Source organism: Homo sapiens, chromosome 3, assembly GCF_000001405.40.
Source record: "Homo sapiens chromosome 3, GRCh38.p14 Primary Assembly".
Lineage (NCBI taxonomy): Eukaryota > Metazoa > Chordata > Mammalia > Primates > Hominidae > Homo > Homo sapiens.
This window is the reverse complement of record NC_000003.12, coordinates 183,204,195-183,224,078: the sequence shown is the minus strand read 5'-3', so window position 1 is coordinate 183,224,078 and position 19,884 is coordinate 183,204,195. Positions and strand designations below refer to the sequence as shown.

Here is a 19,884-nt window from a genome sequence, read left to right as displayed (position 1 = left end):
CTTCTTCCTGGAAAATGTTTCTATGCATCAAGTTGTTAAAGAAATCAAAAGTGGGACTAGGGAGAGGAACTTGGCATTGCGATTTATGTTTATTTAAAGTGTCCCATACTTTGAAATTACACATGAAAAGTTGTAATGGGATAGGCCTGTGAGGAGCACCTATATCTGGTGAGAAAACCAGTGTCTTCTTCTAAGATGGGTTTTAAAAATGAAACTAAGTAAAAAATGTCACACTTTGGGCTCCCTGGAATGATGTCTACAAACCGTCTGTATCCTTCAGGCTCCAAAAGGCCTGAATAGACTCTGGCAGCCCCCAACTTGAAGATAGGTGGCCTCTTTTTCAGAAGGACTTGAAATGCCCCACTGTCTTCTAGTGAACTTGCTTTCTAAAAGAAATAAATGGTTCTGCTTCCCTAGATGCCTGTAAAAATATTAGCCGAGCCGTCCTCTTTCCTCTTTCTCTTATTTCACACACTGTTCCTAGGGGAAAGAACAACCCCACAGCCTTATGGAGCTGCTCGACACAGCTGCCCCTGTTGTCCAGGAAAAGCAATTTTGTGTTTTGTACCTAAATGCTGCCACTTTTATTCTGTGTGTGTTGTTTGTTTTGCTTTATGTTGTTTCTATTTGGCTTTTAAAGGTATGCCAGCGCCAACTGGATCACAATCTCCCTCTTTTTAAGTATCTCAAAGGACCAAGCCAGAGACTTATAAAATACCAGATGCTGTTGAAGGTAAAATCAATGAGACAGTGCTTTTCCTTGGTGGGAAACCAGACGCCTGCACTGTGGTGCCCATGTCGTTACACATGTAGAGCTGTGCCTTGGTCTTCTAAGGCTGAAGATACGTCTATCCTGCAGGCTTTTTCTTTCCTCCAACTCTAAATCAGCCCTCTTCAATGTGGAGTAAGACCAAAGAATCATAGAGTTGGAGGGCACCTGAGGGCCTCACTAGTCCAATGTCTAGCTCAGGGCATGAATCACTAAGGAGTCTGGCTTAGGGGAAGAGAGCTCTTTGGGAGCGAGAGTGTGATTTTCCCCAAAGTTACTGTTTTATGGGCATTTTAACTTGTGGAAGGGAGAAGACAAAACTGAAGTCTTCTATCCTTTTGCAGCACTGACCTCCATTCTTAGATTTAGGATCTTACCCTGAGAGCAGCCTAACAGAATGAACTTTGCTATATCTGAACCCTGAACCCCTAAGTGGTTTTCTCTCTCTCTCTCTGACCTTTACCCCTCCTTAGTGATAAGTCATTGACACTAGCACATCTGCAGGCAAGCATTCTCAGACACTCCAAACAGGATATGAGGGCCTATCATGGCTGGTTTTCTAGGTGTGAGCTTGAGAGAAAGGTTTGGGCCACCACGATAAGTTGTCTGTTGAATTAACCTCTATAAGGCATTTAGGTAGCTCTTGCCCAGTGGCCACTATTTCTTAATAAAAAACAAAAACAAAAACAAAAACAAGCACCTACTGTTTACTGGGTACTTCCCCACGTGTATTTCTTTTTTCTTTCTTTCTTTCTTTTTTTTTGAGACAGAGTGAGACTCTGCCTAGGCTGGAGTGCAATGGCGCGATCTCAGTTCACTGCAACCTCTGCCTCCCAGGTTCAAGCAATTCTCCTGCCTCAGCCTCCCAAGTAGCTGAGATTACAGGCACGCGCCGCCATGCCTGGCTAATTTTTGTATTTTTAGTAGAGACGGGGTTTCACCATGTTGGCCAGGCTGGTCTTGAACTCCTGACCTCGTGATCTGCCCACCTCAGCCTCCCAAAGTGCTGGGATTACAGTATTTCTTATTTAATCTCCACAATCAGACATACCAGCCATGCTCTGGACTGTGAAGAAACTGAGGCTCAGGAAGGTTAAGCTCATTGCCCAACAGTCTCCCCTCAGAAAAAGTTACCCCTTTCAGGCCAGACATGATAACACACACCTGTAGTCCCAGCAGCTACTCAGGAGGTGGAGGCAGGAGGCATCCCTTCAGTCCAGGAGTTCAAGACTAGCCTGGGCAACATAGCAAGACCTCATCTGTAAAAATAATTTTAAAAACATTTTTTCAAAGTTACTCCTTTCAAGCTTTCCATTAGCAGTTTCAGCCTCGGTGTACTCTGCCATTTGTCAGTTATGAGACCTTGCCCTCTTGGGCCTTAGTTTTCCTCTATGTAAAATGAGGGTACTAGAACCTCCTCCATAAGATCGTTATGAAGCAGATGATTAGCACATGCGGAGGGCTTGGCACAGCCCAGGAAGCTCTGCATGATGTGTAGCTGTTATCTTAGACATTGAGACTGTCACACCACCATAGAAATGAGGATAATGATCTGCTTCTTTCAGCGAGCAGCACCTCAGAGCATGTTTGACCCAGCACTCACTCAGGGCCTCATGCTCCTCTGCATGTCCCATTGTCACTGTCATTCCTATTGTAGAAGTCCAACCTCTGGGCCCAGTGAGGCATGAGCAGGACGAAAGTGATGGTCCTTCCTCCCTCAGCCTAGGTTCCAGCTTTCCCACAGAGGTGACATTTACATAGGAGCTAGGTTCGGTACCAGACGCAGAGGGCTGTGGGGCATCGTCATTGGAAACACAGACTCGAGAGTTTAACAACCTGGGTCTGAATCCAGGCTCTGACCCTTCCAGGCTGCGTGAACTCAGGCAAGTTACTTAACCTCTCTCAGCCTCAGATTTCTCACCTATAGAAATAAGATAATAATAGTACTTTCCTGGTATGCTTGTTGGGAGCATTAAATGAGATAATACAGGTTAAAAGGACTTAGAAGGTTTTGTTAGCTGCCTTTCACTGAAGAAACAAGAGATAGAATTACTACAAAATATTTTGCGGGGGGTCTGTGAGGAGCCGTGGGAGCTACCCAAGGCAGACCAGAGCAGTGTCCCCACAGCTAAGCTTGCTGGTGCCTGTGAAACCAGCTCAGGCCATTACGTGCCTGCAAAGAAAGGAACGACCTTGTAATCCTATCTAGGACCTTCTCTATCCCCAGGGGCAGAGCTTATTTTGCATCTCGCACACATGTGCTGGCTTGAAAGAGCATGAATGTTGGACTGATTGCCTCATGCTTTAGAAAGGATCATGGGATCTTGGGGAGAGGGTGATGAGTGATAGCTTATACCATTAAAGACAGACTCATGAAACATTGGGGAAAATGTGAACAAAATATGTAACAGATGATCAGTATGCTTAATGAATCATGTGCTCTTGGAAATTATAATAAAAAGATGCGCAAAGGACATAGCAATTTGCAAAAGAATAAACACTAGTAGCAAACGTTTTTTTAAAAAAGTTCTACACCTCTAGTTATCTAAGGAAGTCAAATTAAAACAACAGTGAGGTAGGATTTCTCTTTTCATTCAATTGGTAAAGATTTTTGATTAAATGGTACTACCCCTTGTAGGCTAGGGGCTGGTGAGACAGGCTTTCCTATACAGCTGGCAGGAAGACAGTCCTTCTCTGAAGAACTTGGAAATATGCCTCAAAACTCTTAACATTTACAATTCCACTCTAGGAATTTAGCTTTAAGAAAAATGCACAAAAGTTATTATCATTATTATAGTAAAAAATATTGTTGAACCTAAATGTTTAATGATAAGGGGGACTATAATTCGATTATGGTTTATCTATAAGATATAACACTCTACCACAACCAAAGCCCATGTTTTAAAAAAATATAATATCATGGGAAAATATTCATGAGATATTGTTGAATGAGAAAAATGGTTTATCTCTAAGATATAACACTCTACCACAATCAAAGCCCATATTTTAGAAAAACATAATATCATGGGAAAATATTCATGAGATATTGCTGAATGAGAAAAATGGTTTATCTGTAAGATATAACACTCTACCACAATCAAAGCCCATATTTTAGAAAAACATAATATCATGGGAAAATATTCATGAGGTATGGTTGAATGAGAAAAAGTAGTCTACAAAATAGTGTGTACAATATGATTCTAGGTTTGTGGAAAGGACCCTGTGCCAAATACATCATTTATTCTTTCCCTCTTACACATTTACACACGTTCTCAGTCAGCTTAGCATTGGTGGCAGATAGTTTGCACAGTAGATTTTGTTGACAATCTACATTTTGATGGCAATGTACATTTTAATTTTCAACAAGACTTTTGGGTTAATGCAGGGTCTGCTGGATTTCGAGTCTCCTGAAGATATGGAGATAGACCCAGGTGAACTAGGAGGCTCGGCTAAGGTACTCAATATTAAATATTACATTTTATATAACTAACTATTAATGGTGTTTGTCTATGGGTCGGAGGATTTATAGCAATTTTACTTGGTGGTCTTTATTATCTAGATTTTCTAAAATAGTATGTATCCTATAACTCACAGTCAAGAAAAAAAACAAAAAAATTAAAGGCAATTTTAAAGTAGGGATTTGCAGCCCAAATGGAAGTGGTAATATATTTTCTTCCTTCCACATAATTTTTTTTTTTTTAGACAAAGTCTCACTCCATTGCACAGGCTGGAGTGCAATGGTGCAATCTTGGCTCACTGCAACCTCTGCCTCCCGGGTTCAAGCGATTCTCCTGCCTCAGCCTCCCAAGTAGCTGGGATTACAGGTGCCCGCCACCATGCACAGCTAATTTTTTTATTTTTAGTAGAGACGGGGTTTCGCCATGTTGGCCAGGCTGGTCTTGAACTCCTGACCTCAGATGATCCACCTGCCTCGGCCTCCCAAAGTGCTGGTATTACAGGCGTGAGCCACTGCACCCAGCCAAAAAAATTTTAATGGGAACAAAATTAAGCAAATACGTAAAATGCATACATAAAAGACTGGAAGTAAATAGATATGATAAAATGTCTGCTGTGGCTTTCCTGAATGGTAGGATTATGTTTTCTTCTTTGTACCTCTTAGTATATCTAATTTCTATATGTTATGCCTTGTTCTCCTCTGTGTGTGTGTGTGCGTGTGTGTGAACTCTAAGAGTCTGCCAAAGTTCCCTTAGAATAAATGGTGACCATGACCACACCAGGTTAGGAAGAAATCTGTGTTATAGCAGTGCGGTTTCTCTTCCCTTTCCTATAGAATATTCTGGTTTTAGCAAGAAACACTTGAGACATGTCTTATGGGGCAGTCATTTGCATGCCCTTTCTGCTCAGAATGGATGACAAGGACCTGTTGAAAACAGAAGCAGCTCAGGACACAGGTCATATTTTTACAGCCTGGAGCAAGAGGAGCTAGCCCTAGTTAGAGGAGTTTAATAATGTTTTAAAGGATTTTTCTGAACCCTACATTATACAGTTCAAAACCCTAGCCACCTCGTGTTTTGTGAAGGAGGGTTAGCGGAAGGAAGGGGGATGGGAAGAGGTGAGGATCTGAAAGGAAACTGAGCATTCAGTGTTTGGTAAGGAGGAAGATGCCTGGTATAAGAACTTTAAAAAAAAATTATTTCTTATTTTTTTATTTTTTTGAGACAGAGTCTCGCTCTGTCACCCAGACTGGAGTGCAATGGCGCAGTTTCGGCTCACTGCAACTCCGCCTCCCGGGTTCAAGCTATTATCCTGCCTCAGCCTCCTGAGTAGCTGGGATTACAGGCACCCGCCACCACGCCCGGCTAATTTTTGTTTTTAGTAGAGATGGGGTTTCACCACGTTGGTCAGGCTGGTCTCGATCTCGTGACCTCGTGATCCACTCCCCCCCTCGGCCTCCCAAAGTGCTGGGATTACAGGCGTGAGCCACTGCGCCCTGCCAAGAACTCTTAATCCCTTATTGATGTTGTTAAAATAAATTCAGGTGAGAGTCTGTTTTCTTTTACCAGGAAGCGAAGCTTCTTTATTATGAATGAGAAGCTACGAATCCATGATACGTTTTTCAGAGGCAGCAGCACGATCTATTCCATTCATCAGCCCTGTCACTCATGTCTCTCATCCAAAGATGCAAATACCCAGTGCTTCCGCATAGATTAAGAAAATATTAAACCCTGTGACTACATTGTGCTGTAGAGGACAAAAAGAGTCAGGGCCAGATGCGGAGCAGCAAAGGGGCTAGCTGTTCTTCACTGCAGAACTTGAGATGTTAAAAAAATACATTGAATAAACCAAAATTTTTTTATGTGTATTTACCAGGTAACAGATAAATACAGCATGTAGGTAGCAGGGAGATAAAATACCTCAAGCCCATGCAAAAGCCTTTAGAGCTGAAACAATCACCCCAATCACATCCTAAATGTCACTGTGGTTGTAATTGGAACATTGGTCTCTTTAATTAGTTACTGCTTTTCCGCTGAATGCTGAGTCTTTATGTTCGGGAGGTGCAGAGCGCTGGCTTATCTCTTTGGCATCTTTAATGGTGGTGCAATGTGGGGAGGGCCAGGGACAAGTGGAGGAAGGAAGGACAGAGTTGGGGGAGATTCAGTGTGGAAATATGATGTTATAGCTTTTACATGTAAATCATTAGTAAATTTCCACTTAGCAGCCTCTATGGAGTTCTTTGTCTCTATAGGAGTTTACAAATGTCCTCCTCTGGGATGATTTTAAGTATAATTTTTCCCACAGGAATAAGGCTTCCACATTAAATATAGGAATATGATACTCAGATTGTATTCTTTTTCTTTTTCTTTTTTCTTTTTTTGTGAGACAAGGTCTCACTTTGTTGCCCAGGCTGGAGTGCAGTGGCGCAATCTTGGCTCACTGCAAACTCCACCTCCCGTGTTCAAGCAATCCTCCTGCCTCAGCCTCCTGAGTAGCTGGGATTACAGGCACACACCACCACACCCAGCTACTTTTTTTTTTTTTTTTTTTTTTTTTTTTGAGACGGGGTTTCACTCTTGTTACCCAGGCTGGAGTGCAATGACACAATCTGGGCTCACTGCAACCTCCGCCTCCTGGGTTCAAGCTGTTCTCCTGCCTCAACCTCCCAAGTAGCTGGGATTACAGGCGCCCACCACCACACTAAGCTAATTTTTGTATTTTTAGTAGAGACGGGGTTTCACCATGTTAGCCAGGCTGGGCTCAAACTCCTGACCTCAAGTGCTCTGCCTGTCTCAGCCTCCCAAAGTGCTGGGATTACAGGCATGAGCCACCCGCCCGGCCATATGGTATTTTTTTTTTCAGTAAGCCCCAGGGAATAGGGGTATAAAAGAGAGAGAAGCCTATTTAAAAGGAGCTAGGTTTTTCCATGCTTTAAAAAAGCTAAATTCTGGCCAGGCACAGTGGCTTACGCCTGTAATCCCAGCACTTTAGGAGGCCAAGGTGGGTGGATCACCTGAGGTTAGGAGTTTGAGAACAGCCTGGTCAACATGGCGAAACTCCGTCTCTACTAAAAATACAAAAATTAGCCAGGCATGGTGGCGCACACCTGTAATCCCAGCTACTCGGGAGGCTGAGACAGGAGAATTGCTTGAATCCAGGAGGCAGAGGTTGCAGCGAGCCGAGATCGTGCCTCTGCACTCCAGCCTGGGTGACAGAGTGAAACTCTCTCTCGCTCTCAAAAAAAAAAAAAAAAAAAAAAAAAAAAAAAAAAAATATATATATATATATATATATATATATAATATATATACTTATATTTTATATAATATATAATATATAAATATTTAATATATATAATTAATATATAAACATATAATTATATATTAATATATAAATATTTAATATACTATATAAATATTTATATAATATATATACACATAAGAAACATATAGAATTCAGCTATATAGCTGAATTCTATATGTTTCTTATGTAGCAGGAATATAATTTCCATGATTTATGAACTTCATTCGTCACTAGTACAATGCACAGAGGTAGATGATTTTGCTTGTCTCTATGCCGTATACCTAAATCAGTAAGCATCTTTAGCCACCATGCTTTGGGAGCAGGGAGACAGATCAATATCCACCCTTCTCAGTCAGGGTTGGCTGGATCCCTGGCTCCTCATCTCTGTCCTGTTTTCCTTCTTCACTTTGCAGATGGTATACTTTTGATTTCCAACAAGGCATTTGTTTTCCACAGGATGGGCCAAAGAGAACCAAAGATTCAGCATTCTCAACTGAACTACAACAAGCTTTGGCAGTGATAGAGGATTTGATCAAGTCCTGTGAGTTGGCTGTGGACCTAGCAGCAGTGACTGAATGTCCGGTATGTTCCATAGTAGTGTTAGAGCATCTCACACAAAAGGCAGGTGCAATACTACACAGTGAGGAAATGCTCTGGCAAAGTCAGAGAGATCGTCTATGGTAAAGGAATTGGACTCTGAGGACAGTCGCCTAAATTGCTCAGTAAACCCGCACTACAAGATTCCAAGCTGTCCCTTGGCATCTTCAGGAATCTTGGATTTATTCCTCAGGGTTCTGAATGTGGGACTGACCCACTGTCTGGACAAACCAGAAAGTCAAGGGCCAGAACATATATGGGCAGAGGAAAAGTCCTGGAGGAGCAATTTATTTTCTAACTCATGGCACTATTAAAATAGTAAAAGATTTGTCTTCTTGTTTCAGAGTTTCTCTAAGAAAAGTATTTTGGAAACAGGTCCTATATTCTTGCCCCAATTTTATATCACAGATCCCAGAAGAGGCCCCAAAAGTATATAGTGTACATGCATTAATCCAAATAGTCTAAAGAAAACCCAAGAGATGCAGTTAGAGGCCAATGCTGGGGAGTTGAGCTCCAGCGTCAGTGTTAATCCGGAGCAGGCTGGTCCCAGGCATTCCAGGCAAAACATCCCCTATAACTGTATGATCTCTTTGAGACTGGAGCATAGTTAATATTCGACTTGTTTTGTTTTTTACTTTGAAGTACTCTAGATTTTTATTCAGATGTGTTTGTTTTATTTCACTGTCATAATAAATTACCATAAGCTTGGTGGCTTAGAGCAGCACAAATTCATTATTATTATTATTTTGAAGTTCCAAGGTCAGAAGTTCAACACAGTCTCATGGGCTAAAATCAAGGTGTTTCCTTTCCTTTTTGGAGTCTAGCATCTGTCTCCTGGAATTTTCCAGCTTAAAAAGGCCACCCACGCTCCATGGCTCATGGCTTCTATGAGCAGAGGTAATAAAGCACAAACCAGCAATGGCAGGTTGGGTTCTTCTTCTTTTTGTTTGTTTGTTTTTGAGACAGAGTCTTGCTCTGTCGCCCAGGCTGGAGTGTAATGGCATGATCTCAGCTCACTGCAACCTCTGCCCGCCAGGTTCAAGCGATTCTCCTGTCCCAGCCTCCTGAGTAGCTGGGACTACAGGCACTTGCCACCACACCTTGCTAATTTTTTTTTTTTTTTGTATTTTTAGTAGAGACGGGGCTTCTCCATGTTGGTCAGGCTGGTCTCGAACTCCTGACCTCGTGATCCACCCATCTCCGCCTCCCAAAGTGCTGGGATTACAGGTGAGAGCCATCGTGCCCGGCCAAGTTTTTCTTACATCACATCTCTGTGACCCCCTCTTCTGCGTTTTTGTCACTTGTGATTATATTATACTTTTTCCTTCTCTTTTTTTTTCTTTTCATTTTTATTTGGTTTTGAACATACCATGTATTGAGGTCTTGGTAGAGGAAATGACTTTTCTTTCCTTGTCATAAATCAAACCATGAAAGTTATTAAGGTCCGAAAAATGAGTTATTTTTACTTCCCACGCTGGTATTTCTTGGGCCTGGATCTCAGAAACTTAGCCCCATGGGGTTTGCTGTGATCCCAGCCATGATGCTGTTACTGTCCCCTGGGACTCCAAGGTGTCTCTGATGACAACTGATGCATGATTCAAGAGGATATGCATAAACTGCAGAGTAGGGTTAGGGTGTGTATAAGGATCATTTTCTTGGTAATAATTCTTCTTTCTTCGCCTGAGGAAAGTCAAGGGAACAATTTGTTAGGTCAATCCAGGGCATCTTTCTGTTCCTTTTTAAATCTTGAATTACGTATTAGACATCCCTATTAAATTTCATTTCCCTGAATCTAATGAATGTCCTGGAAACAATACACAGGGCAGGAAACAGTGTAAATAACATAGGAGGAGGAGGCTGTGAGAAAAGAATGGTTAAAACATGAGCAAATAACATTCTGCCCTAATTTCATTCCCAGCCAGTTTGCATGCAAATAGGATGAACCAGCTTACAGAATTTGGAGATTTTACACGCAAAAAGCAAAGGACCTTTTTTGACCATGTGTCCTCAGAATTGTGCCTCTGCCAGATGCTTTTTGGTACCTTTTCTACTAAGACTTAACTTACTTTTACATCTAATACATCAGCTAATTTCTCCTGACAGTTTTGTATAATCCTGTTGAATTATGGAGGAGTAGATATTGGAATTTTCAACCTTCTGATTCAAAAGAAGATCCATGGAAAGAAGAGTTAACTCACTCAAGATTACATGGCTGTCACCTTGGACTATTTCTTGTTCATTCCCTATCAGGGTGCTATTCCACTCTTTATCTGTTTCTGATTAGAATTGACTGACAACTGCCTCTAACTCAGCTCAAATGATTCTGAGATTCTTTGTCTCCATTTTGTAGAGTTTTATTACAGGTGTTTATGATCACCTGTAATAAATTACAGCTATATGCATGGCTGAGTCCAGTTTAACCTCTTAGTTTCTCTGCTTGAAATTTAATATTAACCTGGTTTTATAAAGGAAAGAAATTGAATGTGATAATTAAATTATCACAATTAAACAACTAGAAAGCAACTAGAAAAAAATCCCTTCTGATATTTATATTTTCTTGTTTTTCTGTGTACTCAATTAGTCCTGGGTCTAATTTAATCACAGAAGTTTAAAATTCTTTTCCAAACAAGTTTGTTTTGTGGAACACTGAGTTATAATTTACTTCTATCTATTTGCAAAAAAAAAACAAAAGTTTTTTTTTTTTTCAAATCCAATGCATATTAGAGATGCATTTAAATTCTGACTTGCCAGGGATAAGTTCCAAAGTTGACTTGTAAAGATTGAATGAAACAGTCTTCCTTTTTGGAACAAATTTATATAAACCACTAAAGGATGTACTTGTATTGTAAGTTCATTGTGAGCTAGGGCCAGGATTTTATTTCTATTTCAGTTTCCTCTTTCCTTACCACAGTGTTAGCTGCAGAGATAGGGCTAAGTAAATAATCCTAGTGACCCAGGCAAAGTATCTTCTTCATTCCCCACCCCCCCACCCCCCCCACCCCCCCACAATACCTATATTACAGGCGGTTGCCGGGAGTAAGTGAGAATTAAATGATGGGTAAGGCACCAAGCACTGTGCCTGGCGCCCAACAGATGCCGAATAAACAGCCCTAGTGGTACGTTATATGGGGACCTGCTCAAGCTGGAAAGGAAGATACCTCTTTGCCCCTGACTATTGTAATCACAGGCTCCCACAGCTTCTGCTTTTCATTTCTGGACTCAGGCTCTGTGTGGACGCATTTATACAGATGTTTCCTGCTTCTTTGTGCAGTAAGTTTGTGACAGTCATATTAACTCTTACTACCTGGAATGGAAACACGGGCACCCAAAAGAAGCTCTTGCTGAGGCCAGCTTCCCTAGATTCACTCTCTCAGCCAGACTCTTCATTTGGCCAATGTAGTCACATTTGAAATCCTTGTATCGGGGCTCTTACCTGCAGAATGCCCAGGTGTGAAAGTGGTAGCATTTACTAATTGATTTTGCTATCACTTCTTGTACAGAGGAGGCCATCTAACTTATCGCTCGCTCATTTGAGGTAGCCGCTATGTTCCATCTCTGAGTTCACAACCATCAGGTTCTTCCACACACCGTGTGACATGGCCACACTTCTTTGTTACTGGTGGAAAACAGTTGGAAGTATATTCGTTTCCTAGGGCTGATGTCGCAAGGAACCACAAAGTACGTGACTTAAAACAACAGAAATTTATTCCCTCACAGTTTTGACGGCTAGACGTCCAAAGGCAAGGTGAGAGCAGGCCCACGTTCCCTCTGAGGGCTCTCAGGAAGAATCCTTCCTTACCTCGTCTGAGCTTCTGGTGACTGCCGGCAATTCTTGGAGTTCCTTGGCTGACAGCTGTGCCACTCCAATTTCTGCCTCTGCCTTTGCATGGCTGTTCCCTCAGCGTGCGTCTCCATTTCTTTGTTTTCTTTTTTTATAAGGATACCAGTCATTGGATTTGGACCCATCCTAACCCAGGGCAACCCCATCTTAACCAATTGTATCTGCAAAGACCCTCTTTCCGAATAAGATCATATTTTGAGGGTCTCATAGACATGAGTTTTTGGGGGAACACTATTCAACCCAGTACAGGGGCGTCGCTGAATGAACTCCTTGGATAAATCAATATTCCCTCACAGTGATGAGTATTTTGTTTCCTGTCCCCTACTCCCAAGCACCACTAAATGCCAATAAATAAATAAATACTAGGGAATGCCAATAAATAAATAAATACTGGTGAACACGTATCTGAAAGAGGTTGTGCAACGTGGTCTCCGACCTTGAGATCAACTACAGTCTAGTTGGAAAGAAAAGGTACACGTGACGGAAAAGGTCATTCTTGCTCCTGCTCAGGGAATGTCCCTGCAGCTTCCTGTTGGAGGCGGAGCAGCTCCACACAGCACAGTGAACAGTGTGTGTGCCTGCCCTTGGTCAGCACCGTGTAGGGCATGTGCTCACCCGCTGGAGATCGGACCTTGGGCGTGGAGATGGGCAATACCGTCATATGTGTGGTCCTGAGAACATTTGTGCAACATGACCCAGAGGATATGTGCCCATATGTTTCTGCCAGACTTGAAAGACCCAGCGACTCCCCCCGAGTCACTTCCAGTAATAATGGGCTTACTGGAAAGCTGACCTGCAGCTTCTCAAGAAGTCACGATGGCAAAGCCAAGTTCGCGGAGATGGGAACTGAGCAAACCCAGGATCCACAGCACCTCTGGGGCCTGGGCCTGGGGAGGGAGCCGGGGTTCTTACCTGTGTGACCCGCCTGTATATGTCAAGTGCACCCACATGCCTGCTCGCCCCCCCTCTTACCACCTACTGACTGTTTTTTTCCCTTCCGTCAGTTTCTTCCTCTTCCTCATAATTTCTAATGACTCACCTTCTTCATAGTTCTGTTTCCTTCTCGTTTATTCCACTGCCTGCTTTCCCCTAAAGCATCTCACAGCCCCGTCTCCTGCTGGTCACCACTTCCTCCTGTTTTCTTCAGTTCAGGGAGAGATCACATTGCCAACCCCCAACCCTGGCACATTGTTTTTATGCTGGGGGCCCTATGGTCAGCTGCTGGTACCTCTCTGGATTCACATCCTCTGATTACTTGCCTATGAAGGTGCAGCAGCATGGCTGTGGATGGGGTGATGAGGAAAGTTCAGAGGTAATAAAGCACAAACCTTGCTGCCTGAGGCTGCCTCTTCAGCATTTCTGGTTGGGGCTGTTTCCTCTACAATAGCCTTGTGGATGCCTTAACTCACGTCACCCCATCTTCACAAGTCATTAGAGAGTGTACACCTCGACTTATTCCCCCTTCCCCTATCATCCTAGCCTCTTCTAGAATTACTTTGACAGCTGAGCCTCCACACTGACCAAATGTGTTCTTACAAGCAGCTTTACCTAAAACATGTTCCTCTTTCTATCATAGGGCGTGGTTGAGGATGTTGCTCAGTGACAACATATCACTGGGAGAAATGTTTCTTATGTCTTAGTAGGAATAGCTGTGCTTTTCCTGAACAACCGGTTTGTGTATGTCTTCAGACATAATAAATCGTACCACTCACCATGTTTCCCTCTGTATTGCTATTAGAAAGTCAGAGCCAAGTTTACATCAAGTTTAAATGGCTTTATTATATGCATTTTACATATAACCTCTTCATCTTTTCTTTTATCTTCTACACCTTCTGGAACAGTTCATCTGATTTATTGTCTTTATATTTAGGGATGGTGATCTCCCTATGTTGCCCAGGCTGGCCTCAAACTCCTGGACTCAAGTGATCCTCCTGCCTCAGCCTCCCAAGTAGTTGCGACTACAGGCAGGCGCCAAGCTCCCAACTTCTTTATTTTTTCTTCACCTTAATTCCCTCGGTTATTTTCTATCTGTCTATACTGTATATATTTCTGTAAGATGCGTCGAATGTTTAAAATGAGGTAGAGAGTGAATACATTGTAAGATAGAAACTACAAGTTTGAATATCCCTTAGCCAAAATGCTTGAGGCCAAAAGTGTTTTGGAGTTTTTTTTTTTTTAGGGGAGGATTGGAGTATTTGCATACGTACTGAGTTATGTTGCAGATGGAACCCAAGTGTAAACACGAAATTCATTTATGTTTCATGACACCTTATACACATAGACTGAAGGTAATTTTACATATTTTAAATAATTTAGTGCATGAAGGCCGGGAGCAGTGGCTTATGCCTGTAATCCCAGCACTTTGGGAGGCTGAGGTGGGCAGATCACCAGAGGTCAGGAGTTCGAGACCAGCCTGGCCAACATGCTGAAACCCTGGCTCTACTAAAAATACAAAAATTAGCCGGGCATGGTAATGCACGCCTGTAATCCAAGCTACTCGGGAGGATGAGGCAGGAGAGTCCCTTGAACTCAGGAGACAGAGGTTGCGGTGAGCCAAGGTCGTGCCACTCTACTGCAGCCTTGGCAACAGAGTAAGACTCCGTCTCAAAAAAATAAAAAATAAAAAATAATTTTGTGCGTGAAGCAAAATTTTGACTGTGTTTTGACTGCCACCCATCACATGTGGTCAGGTATGGAATTTTTCACCTCCAGTGTCATACTGGTTCTCAGAAAGTTCCAGATTTTGGAGGATTTCAGATTTTTTAAATTATGGATGCTCAACCTGTGCTGATAACATTTGTTTATGTGGCAAATATTAAGTATCTACTTCTACCAGTTGCCTTTACTAAAACATATTTCCTGCACTATTTATGTCGATATTGATTATGAATTGAATGGATTTAAAGGAAAAAGCAGTCACTAAGGTCTGTAGTGATTACATTTGAGTGGGTCCTTGATGGATGCAGATAGAGTGAAAAAATTCTCCAGGGTCCTCATGGACCTATCCACCCTTCTGTTTTGGAATGTGGTGAACTGTTAACACAGAACAGGAGCATTGGCTTTTAGGAAAGAAGGCCTCGTGGCTGGGAGTTTGAGGGTTTTATTCACCACAGTCTACATATGTAAATTTTCCAAAGAAGAAAATAGAAAATTAACATAGGAAATAACGCCATAGACACCATAGAAATGACTAGAGTTTATTGCTCTTGAAGTTTTTCTTTTAATGTTTCAGAAGTAAAGTCAATTCCTTTTTAAAAAAGATACCTAGAGTTTGCCCAACATATAAACAATAAATTATAAAAATGCCCAATCAATTATGAATGAAGTACATATTTCCAGTATTAACTCAGAAATCATAGGGATTGATCTCAGCTAGAGGTCACTTAGGGAGATTTCTTTGTCTTGGTCCCCTTCAAATAATTTGTTCCTTTTGGTGTTTTTATTCAGGGAAATGAATTCTTATCTGCTTTAAGCAATCGAAGTTTTGAAAAATACCAGATAAAATGCCTCGCTCCCAGCTCATCTTGGTCCACTGTCTTTTGAAGAGAGCTCAGAGAAGGCAGGGTCATCTCATTTGGACTTTCAACCAGACATATGACAAAGGCAGCCTTGCTGGTGGAGACAGGGGCATCACAGTTTATGCCTAGAGTCAAACAGACTTCTTAAAAATCTGTCATTTGGTATTATCTTGGCACTGTTGACTCACTCTGAAAAACTCAGAGTTGAATGCAGTTACTATTTCCATTACAATGTTGTGAAGATTAGATCACAGTAAACTTTCTCTTTTCAGAACAAGCTTCATTTTCTCAGGTCCTCATATACCTGAAGCAGAAGTTAGGATGCAGATGGAACACACAGATGCTCATGGGTCCGCAATGCAGCCAAAATTCTATCTCTACTGGACATAATTGAAATGTTAATTTCTTGTCCCTTTGAAGGAGACTGTCATGTATCAAACATAGCACAGAGGAAATTGAATTCTGCTAGTTAAAATTGAGTCAAAAATATCACAGTCCCCGTATCTCTAGCTCAAGCATTTCTAACATTCTTTATGTATAGCATTACCTTTCATAGCTGAATTGATTTCCTTATATAACTAAATGGCACCACGCTCAGTGAAGCTCAAAAAATTGTCGTTTTGATTTAGTGACAGACCAGCCTGAATAGCACTTTTAGAATTGTAAACCTCAAAGAAGCATGCTTTATAAAATTTGAAAACAGGCCACAAAGGCTTCTTTCTCTGTCAAGTAATTTTACAGCTTCTTTTCCTGTATGTGTGTTTCCAAAAGGACGATATTGGAAAACTAGGCAAGCTGTTGCTGCACGGCCCTTTCAGCGTCTGGACAATTCACAAGGATCGTTATAAAATGAAGGATTTGATTCGATTTAAACCCAGCCAGAGGCAAATCTACCTATTTGAAAGGGGAATAGTGTTCTGTAAGATACGAATGGAGCCTGGGGACCAGGGATTATCTCCTCATTACAGCTTCAAGAAGACCATGAAGGTAAAGGGAGTCCTATTGCATCTGGGAGTCGCCCTATGCAGAAAAGAGAGAGATCGTTTTCCTTATTTTACAGATGAGGAAGCTGCAGTGTAGAGAGGTGAAGTTAACTTGCCAAATACCACACCACAGGGCTAGAATCCATAGCCGGGTCTGTCTGACTCCAGGGTCAGAGCTTATGGGCCAGGGCTGGCATAGGAGTGCCTTTGTACTAGAGAAAAAAGACTATATGGCAGCCAGTCTGGACAAACTAATTAGTAAAAGTACCCTCTTTCTTCCAGGCAAAGAGGTAAAAGAGAGTTGAAAGACTTAGTGATGAGAACATGGGCTGGATTTCATCTTAGACTTGTCCTTCTCAACGGTGTATCTTTGTGTCTAAGTGCAGGCATTGTCCTGACCTTGGGGTCTAAGGCACCCAGGCCCACACCAAGCATTGTTTTCTCACCTGTTTAGAAACTGTTTCATAGCCAGTTAGCTCTCAGGCTATGAAACACACACACCCACATACAGGAGCCACACCCATATATATTTATGCTGTTGTGATTAAAGCTGTTAATTTGTTCATAGTAGCCTTTGTTTTCTTTCTCCCCTTCCTTCCTTCCTTCCTCCCTCCCTTCCTTCCTCCCTCCCTCCCTCCCTTCCTTCCTTCCTTCCTTCCTTCCTTCCTTCCTTCCTTCCTTCCTTCCTTCCTTCCTTTCTTTCTTTCTGTCTTTCTTTCTTGTCTTTCTTTCTTTCTTTTCTTTCGACAGAGTTTTGCTCTTGTTGCCCAGGCTGGAGTGCAATGGCATGATCTTGGCTAACTGCAACCTCCACCTCCCGGGTTCAAGCAATTCTGCCTCAGCCTCCCAGGTAGCTGGGATTACAGGCACGCACCAGCATGCCCAGCTAATTTTGTATTTTTAGTAGAGACAGGGTTTCACCATGTTGGTCAGGCTGGTCTCGAACTCCTGACCTCAGGTGATCCGCCCACCTAGGCCTCCCAAAGTGCTGGAATTACAGGACTGATTACAGAGGCATGAGCCACCATACCTGGCCTTGTTATTTATGTTTCTGAATAGATCCTTATTCAGTTACTATTACGTAGAAAGTTGTAAAATACACGTTGAAGGAGAAATGATCTCTTCACTGAAAGGTTGAGGGCTGCAGCGCCTCCTGCATAAAGATACAGTAGAAAGTTAACAGTCTGTGTTACCTTCTGAAACAGATGAGACAGAAGACACTGTACCAGATTGTGTTTTATGCTGTCTTGGAGTCATTAAGAGAGGAAAGCAAAAACTTGAAAGGAAGATGAAAGAAGAGAGCTGTCAAGGATAGAAAGGATTAGAGTGATTGACAGGGACTATTTTAAAATCAGAAAACGATGGTATAGAACATTTCTCTTCCCTCTTTATAATAGCTGATGACACTTTCAATTCGCCAGCTTGGAAGGGGGAGCCATAGAAAGTTTGAGATTGCCAGTCGAAATGGACTTGAGAAATACATCCTGCAGGTAACGCTCATGCCTTCCCCATGGGTCTCCTCTACTCTTTCCTTATTGTGTTCCCATGACTTGACAAGTGTTTTCTATCTCATTAGTCTAACGGTCACTGGGAGAATAAAAACTCTGCAATTAATACTCATGGTAGTCTTATAGTGTTTTCTTATGTGTGATTGCAGGCAGCTTCAAAAGAAATCAGAGACTGTTGGTTTTCAGAAATAAGTAAATTATTGATGGAACAACAAAATAATATCAAAGGTAGGTTACCCCTGCTGACTTTCGTCTGTCGAGTTATACTGATTTCAGCTCAGTGGGGGATGTGCAAATTGGGGATATTGTGAAAGAAAATGGTTTGCTGGGAAAACAACTGTGGCCACATTTTCACAGTCCCTGGAAGCACCTATGCTTGATTTCCACTGTGGTGGAGGTGGAGGGGTTGTGTGATTGTGTGTGGTTGTGTTGGTTTGTCCCTTTTGGTTGTGTTCCCCCCACCACTTAATTGCCAAGGTCACCTTTAATCAAAAATCTGATGGCCACCCAAGAAAATGTTAACAGAGATTCAAATGGCCAATGCTACCTTTCAGACACTGTACTACTTTTTTTAAAACATCAAGATATAATTAACATGCCATCAAATTCACTGTCTAAAATATACAATTCAGTGGGTTTTAGATTATTCACAAGGCTCAATAACCATCCCCAGTCTAATTCTATTTTTTTACTTCTTACTTTTGTTTTTTGTTTTGTTTTGTTTTGAGATGGAGTTTTTGCTCTTGTCGCCCAGGCTGGAGTGCAGTGGCACCATCTGGGCTCACTGCAACCTCTGCCTCCCAGGTTCAAGTGATTCTCCTGCCTCAGCCTCCCGAATAGCTGGGACTACAGGCGCGCCAACACGCCTGGCTAATTTGTGTGTTTGTAGTAGAGACAGGGTGTCACCATGTTGGGCAGGATGGTCTTGATCTCCTGACCTTATGATCTGCCTGCCTCGGCCTCCCAAAGTGCTGGGATTACAGGTGTGAGCCACTGCGCCCAGCTGTTTTTTGTTTTAAAGTATTTAACAGCCTAATTCTAATTATACTTCCAAAATATTTTCATAACTCTCCCAACAAAAAAATTCTGTACCAATTAGCAATCATTCTCCATCTCTCACCTTTACCCAGCCCCTGGCAATCACTAATGTATTTCCTGTCTCTATTGGATGTTTTCTCTACACATCACATATATGGCCCTTTCTGTCTAGCTTCTTTCACTTTGCGTATTTTTTTAAGTTTCATTTATGTTGTAGTATCTATCAGTACTTCATACCTTTTTATGGCTGAGTAACAGTCCATTGTATGGATATACCATCTTTGTTTATCCATTCATTAGTTGATGAAGATTTGGGGTTTTTCCCCTTTTTGGATACTGTAAGTAAAGCTGCTGTAGATATTTTTGTACAGATTTTTGTATGAATCTTTATTTCCAGTTTTCTTTGGTGTATATATGTAGAATTGCCAGACCATATGGTAACTTTTGTTAACTTTCTGAGGAACTTCCAAATCATCTTTCAAAACAGTACCACCATTTCACATTCACACCAGCAATATAATAGTTGGGTTCAATTTTCTCCATTTCCTTACTAACACTTGTATTGTTCATTATAATAACATTATTATTATTATTATTATTATCATTGCCATCCTAGTGGGCATGTACTAGTATCTCATTGTGATTTTGATTTACATTTCCCTCATGGCTAGTGATGTTGAGCATCTTTTAACATGCATATTGGCCATTGGTATATCTTCTTTGTAGAAATGTCAGTTAACTCATTTGTATGTTTTTTAATTGGCTTGTCATTTTATGGTTGAATTGTAAGAGTTATTTATATATTCTGGATACTGGACTTTTATCAGATATATTATTTGCAAGTATTTTTTCCCATACTGTGCATTGTCTT

The 19,884-nt window shown here is 41.7% G+C and overlaps 1 protein-coding gene across 4 annotated transcripts in view; it reads left to right on the top strand.

The window, feature by feature from the left end:
• MCF2L2 (MCF.2 cell line derived transforming sequence-like 2) overlaps positions 1 to 19,884 on the top strand; it is a 250,579-nt gene that overhangs the window by 204,541 nt on the left and 26,154 nt on the right. For all 4 annotated transcript variants that reach the window (NM_015078.4, XM_011512585.3, XM_047447751.1 and 1 more), the window contains 6 exons: positions 641 to 733; positions 4,155 to 4,223; positions 7,985 to 8,110; positions 16,256 to 16,471; positions 17,865 to 17,957; positions 18,125 to 18,203. In NM_015078.4, coding sequence (NP_055893.4) covers positions 641 to 733; positions 4,155 to 4,223; positions 7,985 to 8,110; positions 16,256 to 16,471; positions 17,865 to 17,957; positions 18,125 to 18,203 — 676 coding nt within the window. The remainder of the gene's footprint in view (positions 1 to 640; positions 734 to 4,154; positions 4,224 to 7,984; positions 8,111 to 16,255; positions 16,472 to 17,864; positions 17,958 to 18,124; positions 18,204 to 19,884) is intronic.